This window comes from Homo sapiens, chromosome 11, assembly GCF_000001405.40.
Source record: "Homo sapiens chromosome 11, GRCh38.p14 Primary Assembly".
Taxonomy (NCBI): domain Eukaryota; kingdom Metazoa; phylum Chordata; class Mammalia; order Primates; family Hominidae; genus Homo; species Homo sapiens.
In genome coordinates, this window is record NC_000011.10 from 17,126,505 (window position 1) to 17,143,669 (window position 17,165).

The 17,165-nt window shown below is 39.0% G+C and overlaps 1 protein-coding gene and 1 pseudogene across 6 annotated transcripts in view; both read right to left on the reverse strand.

Moving 5' to 3' along the window:
- PIK3C2A (phosphatidylinositol-4-phosphate 3-kinase catalytic subunit type 2 alpha) overlaps positions 1–17,165 on the reverse strand; it is a 121,412-nt gene that overhangs the window by 39,930 nt on the left and 64,317 nt on the right. For 4 of the 6 annotated variants that reach the window (NM_001321380.2, NM_002645.4, NM_001321378.2 and 1 more), the window contains 5 exons: positions 9,978–10,121; positions 8,607–8,655; positions 8,315–8,525; positions 5,412–5,534; positions 2,796–2,963 (listed from right to left, as the gene is read on the reverse strand). In NM_001321380.2, the coding sequence (NP_001308309.1) occupies positions 2,796–2,963; positions 5,412–5,534; positions 8,315–8,525; positions 8,607–8,655; positions 9,978–10,121 (695 nt within the window). The remainder of the gene's footprint in view (positions 1–2,795; positions 2,964–5,411; positions 5,535–8,314; positions 8,526–8,606; positions 8,656–9,977; positions 10,122–17,165) is intronic. The other 2 variants (NM_001386870.1, XM_047427128.1) reach the window with 1 other exon arrangement.
- RPL34P24 (ribosomal protein L34 pseudogene 24) lies at positions 11,435–11,766 on the reverse strand (annotated as a pseudogene).

A 17,165-nucleotide genomic window follows, 5' to 3' on the forward strand; every position in this document is an offset into this window, starting at 1 on the left:
ACAGAAATTATTTCATAAAGAATTTCAAGACTAGGATTACTAATCATTATAACACAGTGGTTAACTCAACTATATTATATACTGTTTCTCTACATGTACTAATGTAGAGAAACAAAGTGTAATAATAATAATCATCTCTCTTAATCATCTTCCCTCTTAATTTCTGAGTATTCCTTGAACGTGAAGTCCTAACATTACCAAGATCGCCTGCACTACTTGGCAGTCTCAAGCTTAATACAATCTATTCACTATTTTAACAGCAGAGTGTTGGATGCAAACTATTTAAATGTCTAGCAGAAGTCAACTGCCCTTCACTTGATAGTCTCTTGAATTATGAAAGAATATTATATCATTTATCTAACAAAACCATTTATTACTAGACAATAAAAGTGGCAAAATGTGATAGTTCTCTAATTATGCAAAGACTCCTGGTGCTTTCAAGAGCAAGAAGGTTTTCAGAATTTATTTATAAAAATTAATGATAATGATGAAATTGTATTTAACTTTCATATAACTGCTCTCTGACACTAATTTATCAAAGACAGTGGTGAATACAATTCTTCACAGTATATAAGCATATTCTGTTTTAGAGTAGTAATGTATTATATTTAGCAAAAGGTTCCTAATACACACCATTAACAGTAATCCCTTCAACTGCCTTTCTTTAGCCTTTGGTAGTTCAAAATTATGTCAGGTATTAAAATCTGAATCCACCAAAATGTAGAGAACAAAAAATCTTATACTGCCTCCTCAAATAGGGGGGAAGCGACTAAAATAAAGAAAAATATTTTTAAAATAAATATGTGTTTTTTTTTTCTTTTGGAGACAGAGTCTCGCTCTGTCACCCAGGCTGGAGTCCAGTGGCGCAGTCTTGACTCACAGCAACCTCTGCCTCCCAGCCTCAAGCAATTCTCTTGCCTCAGCATCCCAAGTAGCTGGGATTACAGATGTGCGCCACCACACCTGGCTAATTTTTGTATTTTTAGTAGAGATGGGGTTTCACCATGTTGGCCAGACTGGTCTCGAACTCCTGACCTCAAGTGATCCACCCACCTCAGCCTCCCAAAATGATGGGATTACAGGTGTGAGCCACTGTGCCCAGCCAATAAATGTTATTTTTAAGCACATGGGAAAAGAATATTTCAAGAACAAATTTGTCAAGTCAGTGTTTTGAACATCCTATTATTGTCAACAGATGATTACTGGCAAATCAAATGGTGTATTTGCCATTTAAGAAGAAAAAGTATTAGATTAGCAGAAATTTTCATTCTCGGTATTTGTTTTAAGTTAAATAGATCTATTATTAAAGCATTTCCCAAACTGTCCCAAGGGACACAAGGTTTCAAAAGATATATTCTAGAACAACAAAAAAGTGTCATGGTATCAACTAAGTTTCAGTATGTTAATATAGGGTAATAGTTCAGAATGTAGACCCTGTAGCCAAACTGCCTGGTTCAAATCCCAATTCTACCACATACTAGCTAAGTGCCCTGGGGAAAGTCACTTAATCTCTGTACTTTGATTCCCCCCACTCCGTAAAAAGGGATAAAATCACCACTTATTTCATAGAGCAGTTGTGAGAAATATAAGGATACCTATGTAGCACTCAGATGAATACCTAGCACATAGTAAGTGCTACATAAGTGTTTGTTATTATAGTAAATATATTGCCATAAGACCCAGTTAAATAGGCTTCTTGACTACAAAGCTTTAGGGATGCTTTTTTCTCCTTTTTTTTTTTAATTTTTCTTTTAGAACTTTAGAGATGCTTTTTTTTTTTTTTGGCGGGGGGTGGGGAGGGGCTCACTGAAACCTCTGCCTCCAGGTTCAAGTGATTCTCATGCCTCAGCCTACAGAGTAGGTGGGATTACAGGGGTGTGCCTCTATGCCCAGCTAGCTAATGTTTATATTTTTGGCAGAGGTGGGATTTCACCATGTTGGCCAGGCTGTTCTCAAACTGCTGACCTCAAGTGATCTGCCTACCTTGGACTACCAAATTGCTGGGGTTACAAGCATGAGCCACAGAGCCCTGCCTAGAGATGCTTTAATATGCCAATGTGCATCATCTATTCTCCAGAATGCACCCATGTGCTGAATGTAACATATCCCGAACTTACCCAATTATTTTTCCTTTGGAAAACTCTTGATCATCTCATGAAACATTATTCCTTAAAACATAATTAAAATATTCAGCTGAAAGGCCATATAGATTATACTATCCCAGTGGCTATTAACAGACACCAAGCTCAAAAGAAGTTCCTTTACCCCTAAGGATAAGGGAAAGAATCCCTAATAGGGTTTTGCATACTTGTGGGATGTATGGCAATTAAAGACTAGGGGCATTTGGCAGTAAGGGATAGATTAGTAAAGAGAATTAAGGAAGGGAATAATGTGCACCTATAGATTCTCTAAAACTGGAGAAGAGTAGGAAAGAAATGGGAAAAGGAAAAACGAAGTTCTTTGGTTAACATCAAGGGAACTTACAAGACTGTGGTATTATGTCAACAATGTAGTACTTTATATAAACGACAGTCATTGGCTGCTGCTTTTCTCCATGGAACAGTGAGTGGCAAACAAAGCTGTGCATACCTATTCAGATATGTTTAGAATATAGCAGACTAACTTTGATTTCCTCTAATCTGTGTCTCTGAACTGACCTCCTTTTATCACATTAGAAAAACTGAAGAGGCTCATTCACTCATCTATGTTCCTCCCCTCACCTCCTTGTCATCTAGCCAATTCTGATGTGCAGATGTGTCCACAGTGACTCACCATTACAATTCGGTAATACTTACCGTTTAAAGTCAAAAAGAGGTAAAGAAACTTTGCCCAAAGCTTCTGGTCCCTTTCTCTGCTTATTAGAATCAGGGGAACTTCCACTGCTCTGATTTAAAATTCCAAAAAGAGTAAGGTGAAGAACTGATTCTAATGGCAATTGTGATATCTGGATAGGAAAAATGATTCTATGGGGGGAAAAATGTATTAATAGAACAAATTAGATTGAATGATTTTGAAATTTAACACTTTAATGAGACTGACAATTTTAGGTATTGTATTTAACCTTTCAAATAATCTTTATTTTGGTATTTTTATTTTATTTTATTGAGAAGGCGTTTTTGCTCTGTTGCCTAGGCTGGAGTGCAATGGCACGATCTTGGCTCACTGCAACCTCCGCCTCCTGGGTTCAAGTGATTCTCCTGCCTCCGACTCTCAAGTAGCTGGGATTATAGGCACCCACCACCACGCCCAGCTAATTTTCGTATTTTTAGTAGAGACGGGGTTTCACCATGTTGGCCAGGCTGGTCTCAAACCCCTGACCTCAGGTGATCCACTCAGCCTCCCAAAGTGCTAGGATTACAGGCGTGAGCCACCACGCCAGCCTCAAATAATCTTTAATACTGAGTAACCTTTAGCTAAATAGAAGTCTGGCTAACTTGTCCTATTAACAATTTTAAATAAATTTTATTAACAGTATAAAATTTCAAAATATAACATTTCTTTCTTTAAAGACTTACAAATGCCTTTGAGATTTCTAGTGTCAATTTCCAGGCAAAATAATATTAGTCATTTTTATTTCCTTTTGGAAAAACTAGATGAATGTTTATGAGAATTTCTGTTTTGGGATGTAAGAATTCACACAAACATATATAATAAGTATATACACAAACAGCCTTCCTTCCTCCTTCCTTTCCTCCCTCTCTTCCCTCCCATGAAAAAAAGAAAAGTATATACACCAACAGACATATGTTTACCAATGCATTATTTTTTTAAGTCTGAAAGAACACTTGAAGTCAACAGTAGGCACTCTGATAGCAAATGTTGAAAATAGTGACACTTTCTACTTATATGCATTTTTGTGTTACTTGATTGCTTTCACAGACATGTATTATTTTATAATATAAAAGAAAATAAGACAATAGGAAAACATTTAATAAATGTGGAACGAATAGTAAAAAGTTCTGCAACTGTCTATCTGCCTAAATAATGAGAGTTCCCTTAGTTTAAAAACACTATTTTAGGCCGGGCACAGTGGCTCACACCTGTAATCCCAGCACTTTGGGAGGCCAAGGTGGGCGGATCACCTGAGGTCAGGAATTCAAGACTAGCCTGGCCAACATGGCAAAACCCCTTTTCTACTAAAAATACAAAAAAATTAGCCAGGCATGGTGGCACACACCTGTAATCTCAGCTACTCAGGAGGCTGAGGCAGGAGAATCACTTGAACCCGGGAAGCTGAGGTTACAGTGGGCCAAGATTGCACCACTGCACTCCAGCCTGGGTGACAGAGTGAGACTCCATCTCAAAAAAAAAAAAAAAAGAAAAAAGAAAAAACACTATTTAAAAAATATGAATAGTACAAAATATCATCTTGTACATGGATTTAAGATAATGTTTTTTTCGGCTAGACGCGGTGGCTCACGCCTGTAATCCCAGCACTTTGGGAGGCCGAGGTGGGCGGATCACCTGAGGTCAGGAGTTCAAGACCAGCCTGGCCAACATGGTGAAACCCCAACTCTACTAAACATACAAAAAATTAGCCAGGCGTGGTGGCGCATGCCTGTAATCCCAGTTACTCAGGAGGCTGAGACAGGAGAATTGCTTGAACTCGAGAGGTGGAGCTTGCAGTGAGCTGAGATCATGCCACTGCACTCTAGCCTGGGCAACAAGGGCAAAACTCCGCCTCAAAAAAGTAAAAAGATAACTTTTTTCGTTAAGTGTTGATTAATCTAAGAGCCAGAATTGTTATATAGTGTTACAGAATAAATACTGAAGCAAGCAATGCTATAAAATACCGTCTTTCTATAACTTTCATTCCTTTCTATAACTATAAATTTATATCTTTAACTTGACAAAGTCTAAAAAGAATGGTATGTTTTTGTAATTTCATAATATAAAGGCTTAAAAGGGTATTTCATTTTTTTTTTTTTTTTTTTTGAGATGGAGTCTTGCTCTGTTGCCTAGGCTGGAGTGCGGTGGCTCAATCTCAGCTCACTGAAAGCTCTGCCTCCCGGATTCATGACATTCTCCTGCCTCAGCCTCCCGAGTAGCTGGGACCACAGGCGCCCGCCACCACGCCCGGCTAATTTTTTGTATTTTTAGTAGAGACGGGGTTTCACCGTGTTAACCAGGATGGTCTCGATCTCCTGACCTCATGATCCGCCCGCCTTGGCCTCCCAAAGTGCTGGGATTACAGGTGTGAGCCACTGCGCCCGGTCGGTATTTAATATTTTTTAATGAGAATTTCAGTCTGTTCTATAAAATCATATCTAGAAGAGAGATCTTAAGACATAAGTCAGAAGTTAATGAATTTCAATGAAAATTGCAATAAAAATTAAAGCTAGGATGCATACATTGGAAAAAGTAAACAACAGGACACACTGAAAGAATAAAAAGCCAGAAATTTCACTTACAGTTCATCCCATTTAATAAGATAGAAGAAATTCTTGTAAGTGCCAACCTTCTTTGATTGAATAGGTTTAAAAAGATCCTTTCCATTGTGAGACAGTGAACATATCAAGTAGTATTTTTCATAACTGAGAAAAGAAAGTTTAACTTGATTTCTATCATGATAATACAAATTAGTTAACTAATACAAATACATTAGCAGTTCTTCCTCCAAAGAGACTAATATCTGAAATAATCTGGTCACCTTTCATTTGAGTTTTTAGAAGTCCATCTGAAATTTAACCACTGCAAATTCTATGAAAATAGAAAAGAGGTTTGGTAAAGGGGATAAAAAGGGGAATGTAAGTTCCTAGGTCCCAGTTTAAAGCATGGTCATAATAACACCAGCTGAATAATTAACTTTAATTTTTTTTTTTTTTTTTTTTTTTTTGAGACGGAGTCTCGCTCTGTCGCCCAGGACGGACTGCGGACTGCAGTGGCGCAATCTCGGCTCACTGCAAGCTCTGCTTCCCGGGTTCACGCCATTCTCCTGCCTCAGCCTCCCGAGTAGCTGGGACTACAGGCGCCCGCCACCGCGCCCGGCTAATTTTTTGTATTTTTAGTAGAGACGGGGTTTCACCTTGTTAGCCAGGATGGTCTTGATCTCCTGACCTCATGATCCACCCGCCTCGGCCTCCCAAAGTGCTGGGATTACAGGCGTGAGCCACCGCGCCCGGCCAATTTACTTTAATTTTGTGCTCAGTTAGTTATTAGCTTCAGATTTTAGTTGAACAACACTGAATAATGTATTTATTCATTTCTAGGTAGAAAGAGTACAAACATTACCTTCCCTAGGTGCATTTTCCTTTGCTAAGCTACTGAAATAGAGTCAGCTAAGCATGTGCCTGACTTGCATCAAGCCAATCTTCCTAGTCTATTGGGAGTCTTCCATTTATGGGGACAGATGCTATTGAATTCTCTCATTAGATTGCAGTGACTCAGCCACTAATTGCCAAGTACACAGCTGGTTGGATACAGTCAGGTAATCTTGTAAAGCAGGAGTCTTAGATTCAATAAAATTGTATTCTACTTAATCTAACTTACTGCTAGCCTTACATGTTAACCACTCTGTTCATATATACAATTTATTTATCATTCTAAATTTAATTCAAATCAAATTTCGTTGGTTCACACAATACCCCTAAGCAAACTATTTGGTTATTTTTCTCAACTTTATTCCATTTACTCCTATTTATGTCAGCATTTTATTCACTTACTTTCTATTTTTATCACCGTTTTCTGTATTGTCTTCTACTGGGTATTTGTTCACCTCATTAGTGTCCCTATGTATATTTGTGTGTGTCTATGTACAAACGTGTGTGTGTGTGTGTGTGCCTATGGAGAATGTGAAGATTATTATCCCTGTAATGAAATACCTTCAGATACCATCAATATCCATTTAAATCCAAGTTCCAGAAGAGTACAGGTTTTTTGCCGCCTTGTACTACTGAATCCCCGGTACTAAGAATACTGCCCACAGATGGTGCTCAATAAATATTTATTGAATAAATTAAAACATCACTTTTAAGTCACTAAATTATTATATTTTAATCTAAAGCCCAATTTAAGCAAAACTTAGGTTTGATATTTCTTCAGTAGACTTTTTTATAGCATTAAGCTACTATAAAACTATTTCACTAAAAATATTTCTGACTTTTCAGTTCATACATTGATTTTCAAATAAAGTAAAACTGGCGGCTGGGTGTGGTGACTCATGCCTGTAATCCCAGAACTTTGGGAGACCGAGGTGGGCAGATCACTTGAGGTCAGGAGTTTGAGACCAGCCTGGCCAACAAGGTGAAATCTCGTCTCTACTAAAAATACAAAAATTAGCTAGGCATGGTGGTGCACACCTGTAATCCTAGCTACTGGGGAGGCTGAGGCACAAGAATTGCTTGAACCCTGGAATCAGAGGTTGCAGTGAGCCGAGATCACGCCACTGCACTCTACCATGGGCAACAATGCAAGACTCCATCTCAAAAAAAAAAATAATAATAATGAACGAACACCAGTCTTAAATTGCCTAATTAACTGACATTTGCTCTGTTTTCCTGCTATATTTGCTCTGTTTTCCTGCTATATTTTCCTGCTTTTGGCATGTAAAGAGTTACATTTTTTTTACTGGAAGTGCTTCAAATACCTCTGTAATTTTTAAGAAAATAACAAAGGTATCTGCTGGTTAGTCATTTAAACACCAAGATAACTGGTTGCTGACATTTTACAAGATCAGAATAGTTGCTAGATAAAGCTGCACATATTTTCTTTTTATTTTTTTGAGACAGAGTCTTGCTCTGTCACCCAGGCTGGAGTGCAGTGGCATGATATAGCTCACTGCAGTCTTCATTTCCTGGCTCGAGCAATACTCCTGCCTCAGCCTTCTGAGTAGCTGGGACTACAGGTGCACACCACCACTGGCTATTTTTTTTTTTTTAATGGAGTTTAGCTCTTGTTGACAAGGCTGGAGTGCAATGGTGCAATCTTGGCTCACCGCAACCTCCACCTCCTGGGTCCAAGTGATTCTCCTGCCTCAGCCTCCCAAATAGCTGGGATTACAGGCATGTGCCACCACACCCAGCTAATTTTGTATTTTTAGTAGAGACAGGTTCTCTCCATGTTTGTCAGGCTGGTCTCGAACTCCTGACCTCAGGTGATCCACCCGCTTCAGCCTCCCAAAGTGCTGGGATTACAGGCATGAGCCACCGTGCCTGACTGGCTAATTTTTTTAAAATTCTTTTTAGTAGAGATGAGGTCTCATTGCCAAGGCTGGTCTCCAACTCCTGGGGTCAAGCAATCCTCCCACTGTGGCCTCACAAAGCCTTGGGATTACAGGTGCAAGCCACCATGCCTGGCTGCTTAAACAGTTACTTACTTTGATACCCAATTACTTGAAATTCCATGAGCAGCAAAAATAGTAAACTGGAGCTGCTCTGTTGTAGTCCATGCTTCCTTGACACTCTTGCTACTTTGGGCACAGTCTGTAGGACTCCTACCAGAATTTGCATGGAGTCTGAGAAGATCATAAATTGCTGCAGTTAATTGGTTTATGCTTACTTGAACAGGATTTTCAGGATTAAGTGAGCCTAGATTAAAGAAAAAAAAAGTTAATAGATTCTCTGAAAAGGCGATGATTATTGCTAAAATTTAAAGATTTAAACACATACCCCTAGTTGAACTCCTGCTAGTGTCTTCTCCTCCAAACAAAGAAGTCACCTACACATGCACACACACACACAATAGTCAGAAAACTGCCTATGACATAATATAAAATGTCAAATACTATGTCCAAGAAACTCTTTCCAGGGGAAACCTCCCAAGTATCTACAGAATTAATAAAACGATAAATAAATAATGCAAAAAGAAAGGGAAAACCACAAACCAAGATTATTTTTAGTATTAAGAAAATCAGAATAACTAAAAACTACTGTGAAATATCACAGAAACACAACAAAATCTGCTTGGTTAATACTAATTTGAAATCTAGAAGTGACAAGTACAGTATTTTTCCATTAGTTGCTCTAAAACAACATAAGAATATCCTTAAAGAAAAAAATCTAGAACTGTATTTATTACCACTTGGTTGGTGACTCAAAAAAGTGCTTATAATTATCTAAACTGACTCCTCTCCCATCTATTGTCTGCTCCTTTATCCATCAAATGGGTAAAATAAATAGAAGCCTCAGACAAAATTAGGTCCATGGTAGTTGATCACCTTCAAGTAATTTCATATATGTGTGTGTGTGTGTGTGTGTGTGTGTGTGTGTGTGTGTGTATAAGTTTCTAAAAAGAAGCACATAAAAAAGTAGAAAAAAAGAAACCCACATCTCTACATACCACATGGATAGGATCTTTCTGAGAATGCATGGACTATGTTATCTTCTAGATATCGAGGGGCACACCATCAACGTAACTTTTCTATCCTTTATATTTATCATGGCCTTTGAGATGCACCCCTTCTTTTATCCTTGCAATTAAAGATATAAATGTCTCTATGAAGCAAGTTAATTAAATCCCCTGGAAATGTCATGACGGACAGCTTTTATTAAAAGCAACAGTATAATCTAAAGGGAAGGCCCCTAACTTGGCTGCTTCTGAGGCATTACAGCTGAGGCCCTTGGTCTTTTCTACAGGAAGTATTAGCCACTTCCCCCACTGATTATCAGTGATTAGAACTTCCCTCACTGATAATCAGGATGCTTCCACCCCAAGGGAGAAGTGATAGTTACTGTCCTCCAGGTCTTCTAAGCTCAATATCTATCCTTAAACCCCAAACCAACTCATTTATGCCAGAGGTCCTCCTCTATACACAAAGGGTTCACAGTTTGACATCCACCTGTTGAATGTCAACTCTCATAAAGCTCTTCCAAGGCAGCCCAACTTCTTACCAAGGAATCCCCACCTAACCAAGTAAGTGATTCAACCCAAAAGTAAAAGCCAAAGTTAAAATGACAATATTTTGTCTAGGATAAGGCAAAAATCTCCTGTTTAAGTACATATTTGCATGTAATAAAATCCTAGTTACCAAAAATACTCACATCAGCAGTTTTACTCCTTGGAAGATTAACTGCTCTCTTTAGCTTCTTTACTGATTCTGTAATGGCAAGAGTCTCGACACCATCTAAAGCACTACAGATTTTTCTTACAGCTTTAATTACTTGATCTACTGCTCGGTGTTGGTTCTTTAAAAATAAAAAATAAAATAAAAATAGGTAGGTGAAATTTAAAGGACCAATTCCAGAGACGAAGTCAGAAACTAGATATCTTAGATATCCCTAACAGATATCCTCTACTCTTTTGTGATGACAAAGAAAAAACATAGCTTTTCAATTGTATAGTTTATTTCAAAGTAGGAAAAGGCAAGGCCGGGTTAATTTTCACTTCGTCTGACACAATTATTCATATGCAAATTGCTATTAATTTTACATTAGAATCAGAAGTAGAAGCATAAATTAGTAGCAAATCACTAAAACTAGAGCTATTTTTTTCTTATTCTCATTTGGAAATAATTTCCACATTGAAAATAACCCTTCTCTTCCTCCTGCAAAAATATGGTATCAAAAACCAAGTTCTTCAGAGGTCGGTCACATATTAATAACACTGGGCAACATTTACCGGAGAAGTACATATTAAGAAACATTCTTATATAATGTATTAATTCATAAAACATTTATGCCAAACTTTTATGCCAAGTACTGTTAGAATGGGCTGAAACTCAGTACTATACCACCCCTTAAAAATTTAAATTTTTCCACCCTTGAGGCTTGGCTACTATAAACCTTCACCTTCAAGCTTAAATGAAACCACCTAATTTTCTCAAATACCCAATTACCCTGTAGTCCTCGGAGCCTGTTTTCTAGCTCCTCATTTTTGCTTATTTGACTTATACTTCCTGCTTCCTTTTACTTCACATTCATGCAAAAATCTTTCCAGTTTTGAAGGTCATGCCATTCTCCTATATTACTTCATATTACTTTGCCTTTTTTTTTGAGACGGACTCTCATTCTGCTGCCCAGGCTGGAGTGCAGTGGTGGGATCTTGGCTCACTGCAACCTCCTGGGTTCAAGTGATTCTCCTGCCTCAGCCTCCCGAGTAGCTGGGATTACAGGTGTCTGCCACCATGCCTGGCTAATTTTTGTATTTTTAGTAGAGATGGGGTTTCACCATGTTGGTCAGGCTGGTCTCAAACTCCTGACCTCAGATGATCCGCCCGCCTCAGCCTCCCAAAGTGCTGGGATGACAGGCGTGAGCCACTGCGCCTGGCCTACACTACTCTTTAAGTGCCAATTATCAATTTATTGTCTATCAGTTCCAAATCCACCCTTCCTCTGCTTTCCTTTCTGATACTAGAGCTAGACCCTATAAACATTTCTCTTTGCCAAGCTAGCGCATTTTTAGATTTTGTCAATTGAACACACAGAAAGGACCCTCCAAGGCCAAGAGCATTAGGAAGACACTTCCCATCTGGGTTCCTGCCTTCTAATTTTTTTAAAAAGTCTTTTAATTTTTATTACTCAAAAAAGCTTCATCTTTTATTTAGCTTTCTGACTCCCTGCTTGTGCTTTCAACACTTTCACAATGATTTTCTGCTCCTTGATAAGGAAAGCATGCTTGATCCTGTCACTAACACATTTAGCACACATGGAATCACCATAGGCCCTGCTGACATGTTTTTTGTTTTGGACAATCTCATAAGGGCTTTAGGTCTCACAGCACGAACCCCTCAAAGTCTACCTGGGTACACACCACATGCAGATTTTGGTGCTTTCCCAACCTTCTTGGTACAAAGGTAAACAATTCTATTACCAGGGGTTCAGGACAGGCTAGGAAAGCCTATGAGGATATGCCAAATGCCCCGGAAGACGAAAAACAGCCAGCTTCCTTTTTTTTTTTTTTTTAATTCAGTGTGAGAGCTGAGTAGTCCTCAAAGACTACCTCTAGCTGCACCCTCATGCTATGTTCTCCTACCTGACACCTTTGGCTAAATTTATCTAGCAGGTTTCTTTGCCATAGGCAACTATGTATTCCTGTGAGAGCCATACTCTCTTCAAAGAGACTAAATTTCAGTCTAAGGTTCGGGGAGAGACTTTATCACAGTCCTCAGAGTGTTTTACTGTCCTTTTTTCCTCAGCCTAGAGGTGACAGCTGCTTTTATGCACCTCCTATCGCTGGACCCCTTAGAGTAGGGTTGGCAAACTTTTCCTTTAAAAGGCCAGTTAGTAAATATTTTAGGCTTTGTGGGCCATACAGTCTCTGGCACCAATTCAGCTCTGCCATTAAAACGTGAACACAGACACAAACAATACATAAACAAATGACCAAATGACTGTCACTATAGGTCCAATAAAACTTTATTTACAAAAACAGAGAGCAGGCCAGATTTGGTGTGTGAGCCATAGTATGCCAATTCCTGCCTTAGAGTCCTCTTTCACCCCTTAAAGCAATTAATCATCTTTTACTAATTAATGATTTTTTTTTTTTGAGACGAAATCTCGCTTTTGTCCCCCAGGCTGGAGTGCGATGGCGCGATCTTGGCTCACTGCAACCTCCGCCTCCCAGGTTCAAGCGTTTCTCCTGCCGCAGCCTCCTAAGTAGCTGGGATTACAGGTGCCTGCCACCACGCCCAGCTAATTTTTGTATTTTTTTTAAAGTAGAGACGAGGTTTCACCACGTTGGCCAGGCTGGTCTCAAACTCCTGACCTCAGGTGATCCACCTGCCTCGGCCTCCCCAAGTGCTGGGATTACAGGCATGAGCCACCACGCCCGGCCTAATGATTCTTTAAATTTCCCTTTTTTTTTTTTGAGGTGGAATCTCACTCTGTCACCCAGGCTGGAGTGCAGTGGCATGATCTCAGCTCACTGCAACCTTCGCCTCCTGGGTTCAAATGATTCTCCTGCCTCAGCCTCCCGAGAAGGTGGGATTACAAGCATGTGCCACCATGCCCGGCTAATTTTTGTAATTTTAGTAGAGACCGGCTTTCGCCATATTGGGCTGGTCTCCAACCCCTGACCTCAGGTGATCTGCCCACCTCCACCTCCTAAAGTGCTAGGATTACAGGCATGAGCCACCATGCCCTGTCTAAATTTCCCTTTTCAAGTAACTAGTACAATTTCCGTCTCCTGGCTGGCCCACGCTGATACATCTTACTACCGACATGGTCATTTCCCCAACGGCATGCCATATTTTTGCATTGGATATTTATCTAACTTTCTACCCTACATCCTGTAATACAAGCCTCCGTTACATAAACGTCCATGTGGAAAATTCACAATATATTCAACCCCCAAATGGTATCCTATTGAAACCTTAACCACAATATCATATCTGGTTACAACCCCTTTGCTTCCAGTCCTCACACTCTGATTCTGACCAAACTCTCTTCTGTCCTCACTCCCTCATTCTGACTAAACTCTTCTCTGCTTCTTCTACCAGGCAGCTGAGCACTTTTAGGAAAATCTTATAGATTCAACAGTCCTCAATTTCAGCACAAACTTCCACGGCACCTAAAATTCCTTTAATCTGCCCTTGGTCAGCTCTCCTTCCCATTCCCTATAGGATATTAAACCAAACCATTATTCCTTGCCTCAAAACCCCTACTGCCATCCTGACTTCATTTTAGCAAATTGAATTAACATCCTATCTTCAGAAAACTAAAGGCCAGGAGTAATCAAAACCTCTGCAACTTCCTAGCTGGGCACAGTGGTGTGTGGCTGTAATCCTAGCTACCTGAGAAGCTGAGGTGGGAGGATCTCTTGAGCCCAGGAGTTTGAAGCCAGCCTGGGTAAGACAGTGAGACCTCCATTTCTTTAAAAAAGATAAAATAAACAACAATAAAAAAAACTTCAGCAACTTCTTGATCTCCCCCTAAAATCCATCCAAAAGAAATTAAAACATATATCCATGGGCTCATACATAAATGTTTATAACAGCATTATTCATGATAACCAAAAATTATAAAGTTTAAGTCCAAATGCTAATCATTTGGCAAATAAACAAAATGTGGGGTAGCCTGGAATATTTTTCAGCAAGAAAAAAGTGAACTATAGATGCCTACTACAACATGGATGAACCTCAAAAACAGTATGGTGTGTGAAAGAAACCAGATGTAAAAAACTACATAGTACATGATTCCATGTACATGAAATGTCCAGAAAAGGCAAAGCTATAGAAATAGGAACCAGATTAGTAGTTGTCTGGGGCTGAGGCTGGGAGTGAGGATTGACTGCAAATCAGTACAAGGAAACTTTTTTGGGAGTGATGAGAATGTTCTAAAACTGGATTGTGGTGATAATTATACAACTCTATGCATTGGCTAAGAATCACTGAATTGTGTGCATATAATGGGTACATTTTATGATATATAAATTATACCTCAATAAAGCTATAAAAATAAAGGAGGGGGATAAGTATAATATAGAGTTACTATTTTAGATAAGATGGTGAGTAAAGAAATCTCTGGTGATATTTGGGCACTGACCTTAAAAAAGTGTAAGGGTGAGCCATGCAAATGTCACAGGGAAAAGCATTTAGAGGGGAACAACATGCACAGGGGTCCCCAGTGGGGAACATAACTGGCAGATAATCAACCAGAAAAAAAACAAAGGGAAGTGATAAGAAGCCAGATCAGAGAGGTAGTGAGTCCATACTGTGCGGAACCTTGAAGCTACAATTAGGGCTTTGAATTTTACTAAGTAAGAGAGTAAACAGGATTCTCAGTGAAGGAGTGACATGATCTAACACTTTTTAAAGGATTTACAAACGTTATCTTTTCAAAGCCCCACCTTCTGCCTTTGATTTTCTCTTATTTTGCTTTCTGCTCTTCTTTTCTTTTCCTTTTTTTTTTTTTTTTTAAGACAGGTCTCATTCACCCAGACTGGACTGCAGCAGTGTGATCTCAGCTCACTGCAACCTCTGCCTCCCGGTTTCAACCAATTCTCCTACCTCAGCCCCGAGTAGCTGAGATTACAGGTACACGCCACCATACCCGGCTAATTTTCCTATTTTCATTTTTAAAATCTTTACCTTTTAATAATTTTAAATTTATAGACAGTTATAAAAAAATACAAAGTTCCCATATAATGTTGGAAAACTAGACTAAGTAAATCTTACATAAACCACGTTACATTTGTCTAAGCTAGACATTAACACTGGTATATTGCTATTAAGTAAATTTCAAACTTTATTCAGATTTCACCAACTTTTCCACTAATGAGCTTTTTATCTTCCAGAATATAATCCAGGATATCACATTACATTTAGTGACTTATTTTCAAAAGATCATTTTGGTTGCCTGTGGAAGACATACTGTAGAGGGCAGGGGTAGACACTGGGAAATTAGTAAGAAACTACTGCAGTTGACTAGAGTATAGCTTTGGTAATGATGAAAGTGCTCACATTCTAAATGTATTTTCAAGGTGGAGCTGACCAGAATTAGACTGAATGTGAAATGTATAAGATCTTTTTCTTGAGACATCAAGGATGACTCCAGGGTTTTGGTCTGAGCAAATGGAAGACAAAGTTGCCATTTATTAAAAAGGGAAATAATGAGGTCAAGTTATGCATGTGTAGGGAAGGGGGTATATGAGGTATCTCTGTACCTTCCTCTCAGTTTGCTCTGAACCTAACATTGCTCTCAAAAAATAAACTCTTAAAAAGAGAAAGGAAAGGTCGATGGATGAATAGATATGATGGGTACTATAAAAAATTCAGTTTTGTACATCTTAAATTTGAGATGTCAATTAATTAGATATTCACATAAAGATGTCAAGTAATAGATATTTGAGTCTGGAGATGTGGAAAAGGTTAAGGTTAGACATATAAATTTCAGAGTCAATCAGTATAGGGATATACCAAGATCACCTAGGATGTGAATACAGAGAGAAGAGGTCCTAGAACTGAGCCCTGGGGATATGCTAATGTTTGGTAGTCAGGAAGATAAGGAAGAAGCCACAAGTAAGAGTGAGACAGAGCAGCTAATGGAAATAAGGAAAGCAGAAGGTGGTATCCCAGATGCCAACTAAGTATTTCAAAAAGAAAGACATGATCAACTGTATCAAAAAATACAGACAGGTTGAGAAAAATAAAGACTTGGTGGGCACAGTGGCTCACACCTGTAATCTTAACACTTTGGGAGGCCGAAGCAAGATGATTGTTTGAGCCCAGGAGTTCAAGACCAGCCCAGACAACACAGAGAAATCTGCAGGGGGTTGCAGCTGCAGTGATCTGTGATCACACCACTGCACTCCAGCTTGGGTGACAGAGTGACACCCTGTCATCCATCCATCCATCGATCCATCCATCAACAGATTAGGAACTGACTACTGAATTCAGGATCATGGAAGTCCTTGATGACCTTAATAAGTACAGTTTCAGGGAAGTACTAAACTGATTGGAGTGGGCATATAAGAGAATGGGAAGAAAGGAATTGGAAGCTGTAAAACCACTTAACTTTCAGAAGTTTTGTGGCAAGGAGAATAGAGAAATGGTGTGGCTCCTGCGGCAGGGGGCGGGGTGGGGATTTTTTTTTTTTTAAGATGGGCAACTCTTCATCTACAATGATTTTCCTGGTGACCTCATCCTGCCTATGGCTGCAAAATACAATTTATATTCTGATGATTTCCAAGTTTATTATCTCTAGCCTGGACACTCCATACGAAACTCCAGATTCTAGTAAACTCCAGCTTACCAGAGATATTCAGTGAATATTTTTGAATAAATATATTTATATGTTGATAAGAATGTACTTGTAGATAAAAATATGGAAGCCATCCTACACTCATACTCTTTCCCCTTCACTCACATCTCATCACCTATTAAAATCTTTTCAATTTTATCTCCTAAATATTGTTAATCAGTTCTCTCCTTTTTAACTTCTCCATGCTCTTTATCTTTCACCTGGACTGCTATAAAAACCTTTCTAAATATTCGCTCTGAAACCAATCCCAACCTGAAATCTAACTTCCACAATACAGCCAGAGTGATTTCAGATCACAGGACTAAACAATTCACCCAACCCACCCTAGGCTAAAAACACCTTAAGTGGCTAGAGCAGGAGTCGGCCAACTTTTTCTGTACAGGGCCAAACAGTAACAGCTTAGGTTTTCAGGATACACAATCTCTGTTCCAACTACTCAACTCTAGTGTTGGAGCACAAATGTAAATGACAAGAAAGAATATGTTAAAAAAAAAAAAAACAAAAAAAAAAGGGTATGGGGCCAGGCGCAGT